Genomic DNA, 8,787 nt, shown 5'->3' with positions numbered 1-8,787 from the left:
CAAGAGCTCCCATAAACTCTGGTGAAAGACAGTTGGACAGAAACAGTTCTGCAGGTACCAGGTGCTGATTAACGAAGCAACAGGAGTCAAAGGAAAGGGCCTACTTTGGATGCCATCTGAGTCACCATTTTCTTCAACCAGAAATAATTGAAAGAGTCAGAATCCAGTTTTAAAACATTTATTCAGGCAAAAAGATGGGAATGGCCATCCAGGAAAGACGAATTGCAGAGAAATGGAGTTAGTACTCCAAAGTTAAAAATTAAGACCAGCTGGGCATGGTGGCTCATACCTGTAATCCCAGAACTTTGGGAGGCCGAGGCAGACAGATCATTTCAGGTCAGGAGTTCGAAACCAGCCTGACCAACATGGTGAAACCCCATCTCTACTAAAAATACAAAAAAAAAAAAAAATTAGCTGGGTGTGGTGGTGCATGCCTGTAGTCCCAGCTACTCGGGAGGCTGAGGCAGGAGAATCGCCTGAACCCAGGAGGCGGAGGTTGCAGTGAGCCAAGATTGAACCACTGCATTCCAGCTTGGTCAACAGAGCAAGACTCTGTCTCAAAAAAAAAAAAAAAAAAAAAAAAAAAGTTAAGACCTTGCTTATATAGGCAGAACACAAAGAAATTTAGAAGGATTATAACATTTTCTATACAAGACTAGTTTTTGACTTACAACAAGTTAATTAGCTACAGTTTGTTTTCTTTTCTGTACAGCTTATTTTAATTTTCTTTCTAATTTAAAGAGGGATTTAACATTTCATCCTAAACAATGTGATAGTCATGAAATCTTGGTGTGAGAGAGGAAAGAGAGAAGTTAATCTTTAAAGAAGATCAACATTTAAGAGGGAAGGGGACCCTTTAATCATCTACAACATTTTACGCCCTTCGGTCATTTATGACTGGCACCCTTTAGTCATGACATTTTATACAACAATGTAGGTAAGGAAAAAAGCTAATCTGTAATTAGAGAAACAAAGATTACAGCTGTCTAGGTTATAGCTGCCTGTTTACATGACTTGGGTTCCATAATCACAGTCCCTTAGGGCTCAAAATATTTTAGAGTTCCAACAGCTTAGATTTTGATTTTCTTATTTTCACAACTCCTACTTTGACAAACATACATCATTATGATGTGGAAGGCTAGGTTTGAAGCAAGTCTTTAGACTCCTTAAAGTGCATGCAGAGAGCCAGCCCCTGGTACCCAGCCTCTGCTCTGCAGCCTACCATATTTTTCCACCCCTGGCTCCAACTCATTCCACTCTAGGCCTCACAGACATACGTGTAGACAATGCAGCTAGCAGTCTAGGCATGTCTGAGTCCCATCTCTCTACTTCCCTCACTCTCTTGGCCACCCTTTGGGCTCCTAGGTCCAGGAAAGAGGTCTTCCCAGGTCAACAAGCTGATTCATGACTCTTAAGTGTATTTCTTAAGTGTATTTCAAGATACCCATTACCCAGAGAATGGTCTAGTGGTAGTGGTGAGTGAGATGGGTGCTGCCTCTGGATGGACACACACCACTGGCCCTGAAGACAACTAACCATAGATAGAGAGAGTAAGGTTAGAGTTGGAGCTTGCAAAATATGGAGGCCTACAGCAGGGGCCTTTCTTGCTCAGATACCAGGGAAGCACTCATCTCTTTATCTCAAAGTCCTGTGTTTTTACTCTTTACCAGGATAACCCTCTGAGACATAATTGTTCAAAACATTTTATTATCCTTCAAAAAGATAATTTAGAACATCTTAATTTCTCATCCTATTTTCTATTTTAATCAAAACTGATCAACAGTGTTGGACTGACTAGTTTCATAACTTTTTCCAAAATAAAATGCATTTCAGCTGTTTACAATCATTTTAAATCCCAACTGCATATACCATTATCAATGAACACATCTTCTTTTTAATAGACTATGAGACAAGCTAATTTAAGATTCCAAATGATTGGAGGAATTCATAAAACTGGGAAGTCTTATAGAAATATCAAAGAATTTCAATATGAAATATATGGTAAAAGGTTAAAATAAGTGGTAATTGTTATGGTTTAATAAATGATGGGCTGAGAGATAAATTAATAGTCATCTTTAATTTGATGAATGATACTAAATTATCTCTCTGACTTCTACTGTGGGCAGTGCCAAAATTTTGAACAGTAAAAATTAAATCAATGATCTAGATTTTTCTAATTGTATAAATTCTCATTACAGACATCACCCACAATCCACACATACCCACCCACATGCACATATCTCAATAATTTAATCTGTTACTCTTACCTGGATATTTGCCTGTATGTAGTTATCACTCTCCCTTTTCAAATACTATTTCCTCAAACCATTCCACTTCCCCTTTACCTAGAGGGAAAGCAGGTAGATAAAAATGCTAGATTCTTTAGAGTTCACAAAAGTCTTTTCCCCAGTTCTCTCTTAACTTTATGATACCCTATGAAGTAGATATTATTCCCAATTCACTGATGAAAAAATTGAACATTAATGACATGAAAGAAACTGAATAAGCCACAGAACAATTATATGGGAAGGCAAGGACTCAATCAAGAAATGAGTACATGCCCAGTGTCCCTTTGTTTACATCATGTGTTTCTCAAACAAAAAACATCAACTAACTCCTGAGTAGTGAGCACCAATATAGAGATAAGAATGTTTTGAAGGATTTCATACTTAAGCAACATCCAGTTAAAACTGAACTTCAAACTATTAGTTTGGTGCAAAAGTAATTTTGGTTTTTGCCAACTGAATAGCAAACCACAATCACTTTTGCACCAACCTAATATAAGAGATTGTTGGAGAATCACAAGCTGCATTTGCGCCAATCCTCTGAATTCCTGCCACCCTTGTTTCAAGCTTTCTCAAACACACCTGTTGCTGATACTCACCTCTTCATCTATATTTGTTCTTTGTGTGTCAGTTGTTAGTTTATTCTGACTCCCTCCCATTACCTTTTATGTGCTCTGATAATACCTGCTTTGTTATTATTTAGTGAGAAAACTGATGCTAAGAATGAGTAATTGCCTTCTTTAAAGACCACACAACTGGGAACTGTTAGATCCAGAGCCATATGACTTCCACTGTATTGGGCCGGTGGAAAATGCAAAAATGGATAATCTACAAAAACCAGGAAATAATATCATAAAACCCATATTGTCATAACTGCTACAGTTGATTGCTTGCATCTTAAATTTGAAAATTCCTCAGAAATCTAGTTAATAAATTAGGCCTTAACTAACTAGGGAAAGAAACAACAGCTGCTGATGTACTATAGCCATGTTCTTCAGCCTTTTCAAATATAAAGGCCTTATTTTAAAGTAAATATTTAAAAAAATATTGATCACTACATGATAGTAGTTAAACTTTTAGTATTCACTGATTACAAATATTTTTAAAACCCACAACAAATTCAGGCACATTTTAAACTAAATTTGCGTTTCAATGGTCTATTATACCTACATACATTAAAAATGGGTGATATAATAAAACATGTAGAATTTTAAATACATGTTGCTAAGTGAGAGGCTCCATATTATATGATTCTATTTATATACATCCTGGAAAGGGCAAAATTATGGAGGCTATAGAAAGATCAATGGTTACCAGGTATTTAGGGAGAGAGAAGGAAGGCTGAATAGGTGAAGCGCAGGGGATTTTGCGGGGCTGTGAAACTATTATGATGCTATAATGGTGAGTACTTGGCACAAGGCAAGTACTATAGAATTTCACCCCACAAATAGTGAATTAATGTATGTAATTGAAAAATAATTTAAGAGGTGGAGTGATCTGAGAATGTGACAGAACATCTAACTTTATTACAAATGTATGAAACAACCACTCTGGAGGAAATAGGTGAGAAAGTGCTGATCAAAATAACTTTGGAAATAAGACGAATGTATAAAACTGAAGACAAGAAAAACTGTATGTAAGCACAATATTCCAGTTTAAAAAGTTGTTTGGCTTGGAAGTATGGGTTAACCATTCTACTACTGCTATACATGTACAATGAAATTGAACAATTATGTAAATGGCAGGTAGTGGGAACCAGGTATCTTACTGTGGGGGGAAATTTACAGATAGGCAAGGGGAAGAGGGAGAATGATCCATGTGGCAATAAATTAGAGTTGAAGATATCAATATGAAATCATTTTTAGTTTAATATACACACATATGGTTGCATATAGAAGTATTTATACATGTACATTTATACAAGTGTTAGTGTACACACGTATATTTTCTTTTTCTGTCAGGTAAGATGGTCTGGAAACAATACAGTAGCAATGAGCACACTTAGAGCCCAGATTTTGGTTTCTAATACCATTCTCCAATAAAAAGATCTTCTTTGAGAAATAGCTAACTGTAGTACTAGGGAAGGGAATATATAAGATGAGCCTAGAGCATATTGTAGTAAGAAGTCAGAAGTCAGAAAGTAAGAACTCATCACACACACACATTCAATGCTGGGAGACAGGAGCCAACTGAAAGAGTTCCAATGGCCAAAGCTGGAGCAAGTTGAGCCTGGAGCATTGCATCTTTTAGTGTCAGAAAATAAGAAAGTACTAAAAACATCACACACACACACACACACACACACACACACACAGATGGAACAGAGAAGCCAACTGAAGGAACTGCTAATGGCCAAAGATGAAGCAAATTGAGCAATAAAATAAAATATATTATATTATAATCCAAACTTAAATATCCATGAATCTACATTCATATTAATAAATGATTTAATATAAAATTAAATGTAGGAGAAGAGACAAATTTCCCATGCAGAATGACTGAATAATTTATGTAGATAAACCACCCCCAAGAAGGTGAAGCATAACTCCACACTCCTTAAGTGTGGGCTGCATATACTGATTTCTTTCCAGAGTACAGAATGGTAAGGAGGGGAAAAGAGTAGCTTCATACTGAAGACACCTGACAAATGAGTGAGAAATTTTATTTATTTGGTCACTCAATAACTCTTGGTATACATATTTATTTACAGATGCTGTTTAATAGCTGTGTAACTCCATGACCTATATCTTGGATACTCCTTTGTTTATAGGGAAAATAATGCAATGTTCTGAGAAGGTTAAAATCCCATTGAAACAAATATTAGAATTTCTGCTTCTAATCATGATGTGGTAACTGGTACCAGACTTGCCTCCCCACCAAAAGTAACTATATCACTAGAAAAACTATATGAAATTGGCAGCCCAAGACTGTAATGCTTTAGAGAAGGAAACCACATGAACTGAGCTCCATATTTTCTGGCATTTTTGCTTGAGAGTAATTTCTGGAGGGGTAGTATAAAGAAAGAAGGGTGGAGCAATGATCAGAGTTCAGACATAATGAAGTGCCATAGTGTGGGGCAGGGTACCAGAATGTAGGGAGCTATGCAAAGGGTGGCCCAAATCCCTGTGAGGCATCTCTATGGGTTTTGGCCAATGGCTTGGCTGTGCATACACAAGCCTAGACAATCTGAGGCCTCATAGAAAGTAGCTTCTGTGAGTCTGAGAGCTGAACAGGGATAGCAGAGCTATAATGGATAGAAGAGTTAGCACAGATAATGCAAACCTAAGAGATACTGGTGCTCCAGCCAAACCACAGTAAACTATACTGAGATCTTTCTTCATTCAGTTTATATCCCAGAAAAGCCATGCTTACAAGTAAAAACCACACCTTTGAGTAAGGGCCATACTCTAGGACTAAGAACTAAGGATAAAACCTAAAGAATCCCATCTTAACAAACAATAAGCCTAGCCTGAGAAGCTCTAAAGAATCTAACAATAATTTAACTGTCTTCCAGAATAAAATGGAATGTTCTTTAAGAAGACAGAATAATCCAGAATCTGCATCTTTAACAATAAACAATATAAATTTTTTAAAAGATTATGCAGCTTAAAAAGGAGAAAATTGAGATGCATAATCAACGAAAAAGCCAATGCAAACAGGCTACAAGATGGCTCAGAAGTTAAAATTTGCAGAAAAAATCTTTAACAAACTTGTCCAAGGATTTAAAGAAAAATATGGACACAATGAGTGAACAAATGAGGAATCTCCACAGATAAATGTAAAAGAATGTTAAAAAGCCAAAAGGAAATTCTATAACTACAAAGTACAATATCTGAAATAAAAAAAAATATTGAATGGGATTAACAATAGATTACAGATAGCAGAAGAGATGATTAGTAAATTTGAAGAGACTAATAAAAATATTAAAATCTGAAAAGTACAAAGGAAAAAGCCTGAACAAAGAAAAAAGCCTTATGTATCCGTGAAGCATCAAGCAGTCTAGTATACATACAACTGGAGTCCTACAAAGAGAAGAGGAGGAGTCTGGTGGAAAAAAAATGATTAAAAAAAATAATGGCTAACAGTTTCACAAATTTTAACAAAACAAAAACTACAGATTCAAAATGTTTAGTGAAGCCTCAAAAAGAAAACCACATTTGAGCCATCATAGTCCAATTCCTCAAAACCAATTATAAAGAGAAATGCCTTGATAGACTGTATTAGTTTTCTATTGCTATGTAACAAATTACAACAAACATGGGAACCTAAAAACAATACTCATTTATTATCTCACAGTTTTTTAGGTTGGAAGTCTGGGTGGGCTCAGCTGGGTTCACTACTGACGGTCTCAAGAGGTCAAAATCAAGTTATTGGCAGAACTGAGATTTTATCTGGAAGTTCTTGGGGAATAATTCTGTTCCAAGTTTATTCAGGTTTTTGGCAGAATCCAGTCCCTTGTGGTTGCATGTCTGAGATTCTTGTTTCCTTTTGGCCTGTCATTCAGAGGCTGCTCTCTGATCCTAGAAATTACCACTATTTCTTTTCATGTGGTCCCTTCCATAGTCAATACCAACAATGGCACATCAACTCCTTCTCACACTGAATCTCTCTGACTTCCTCTTCCACATGTTTACATTTGGCTTACCCAGACAATCCCCAGATTGATTAACTTAAGGTCAACTGATTAGTAACCATCATCAAGATTACTAATATCTTTTGCCCTGTAATGTAACAAAGTCAGGGCATGATATCTCATCATATTCACAGTCCTGAGAATAAATATGGCAAATTTCAGGGGCAAGGAAGAATTTTAGTACTCTGCATGCCACAAGTGAGAAAAGAAACCTTGTTTAAAGGTAAATAATTATGACTGATTTCTTATAGGAAAAAATATATGACAGTAGACAATAAAAAAGTACCTTTAAGACAGAAAGAAAGAAAACAAAAAACTGCCAACCCTAAATTACATATCCAGCAATACATCCTTTAATAAGAATATATTAAAATCATAATTCTTAGATAATAATATTAATATAGCCTTATGAATTTATGAGATAAAATTTAAAAAACATTTTTATGTAACTAAAATCAGAGAAAATTCATGAGATTGCACTATAATAAATGTTAAAAGAAGTTGTTCAGGCTGCAGGGAAATGATGCCAGACTAAATTCACATCTGCAGGAAGAAACAAAGAAAATTAAATATGGTAAATATGTGGTCAGATATAAAAACCTATATTTTTTCTTACAATAATTTCTTTAAAAGACAACTGGCTTTTTGGAATAGTGCCAAACACACTATAGGCCATGGGCCAAATCCAGCTCTTGGCTTGTATCTGTATGGCCTGATACTAAGAATTTTTTTAATTTTTAAAGGATTACAAAAGCAAAATATAAGAATGAATCAAAAACAACAACCAAAAATAATAATATGCATTCAGGACATATATGGACATCAAAGCCTAAAATATTTACTACCTGGCACTTAAGGGAAGTTTGATGACCTTCTTTTTTAGAGCAAAAAATGTAATAATAATAACATTTCATTATAGAGATTATAATAAATATTGTAGTTACATATATAACAACAGGAGCATGAAGGATGGAAAAAAGTAAATGAAATTATATTGTTGAGAGATTCTTACATTTTATGTGAATATTAAAATCGCAATGTTAACTATAGGAAAACTGTGATAAGAATGTATATTGCCGGGGGTGGAGCCAAGATGGCCGAATAGGAACAGCTCCAGTTTACAACTCCCAGCGTGAGCGATGCAGAAGACGGGTGATTTCCGCATTTCCAACTGAGGTACTGGGTTCATCTCACTGGGGAGTGACGGACAGAGGATTCAGAACAGTGGGTGCAGCACAGCGAGCGTGAGCCGAAGCAGGGCGAGGCATCACCTCATCCAGGAAGTGCAAGGGGTCAGGGAACTCCCATTCCTAGTCAAAGAAAGGGGTGACAGATGGCACCTGGAAAATCGGGTCACTCCCACCCTAATACTGTGCTTTTCCAATGGTCTTAGCAAATGGCACACCAGGAGATTATATCCCGCACATGGCTTGGAGGGTCCTATGCCCATGAAGCCTAGCTTATTGCTAGCACAGCAGTCTGAGATCAAACTGCAAGGTGGCAGTGAGGCTGGGGGAGGGGCATCTGCCATTGCCAAGGCTTGAGTAGGTAAACAAAGGGGCGAGGAAGCTCGAACTGGGTGGAGCCCACTGCAGCTCAAGGAGGCCTGCCTGCCTCTGTAGACTCCACCTCTGGGGGAAGGGCATAGCCAAACAAAAGGCAGCAGAAATCTCTGCAGACTTAAATGTCCCTGTCTGACAGCTTTGAAGAGAGCAGTGGTTCTCCCAGCACGCAGCTGGAGATCTGAGAACTGACAAACTGCCTCTTCAGGTGGGTCCCTGACCCCCAAGTAGCCTAACTGGGAGGCACCCCCCAGTAGGGGTGGACTGACACCTCACATGGCCGGGTACTCCTCTGAGACAAAAGTTC

The 8,787-nt window shown here is 37.1% G+C and overlaps 1 annotated feature.

The window, feature by feature from the left end:
- Positions 7,128 to 8,327: an enhancer, noted in NCBI's record as "BRD4-independent group 4 enhancer chr4:150015556-150016755 (GRCh37/hg19 assembly coordinates)". NCBI's record gives its function as "activates an origin of replication core promoter dependent on BRD2, P300/CBP, MED14 and CDK7 cofactors, and independent of BRD4, by STARR-seq in HCT116 cells {active_cell/tissue: HCT116}" and the evidence as "EXISTENCE:reporter gene assay evidence [ECO:0000049][PMID:35650434]".

Source organism: Homo sapiens, chromosome 4 (assembly GCF_000001405.40).
Source record: "Homo sapiens chromosome 4, GRCh38.p14 Primary Assembly".
NCBI lineage: Eukaryota > Metazoa > Chordata > Mammalia > Primates > Hominidae > Homo > Homo sapiens.
The sequence above is the reverse complement of the archived record's forward strand: the minus strand, read 5'-3'. Positions and strand labels throughout refer to the sequence as shown.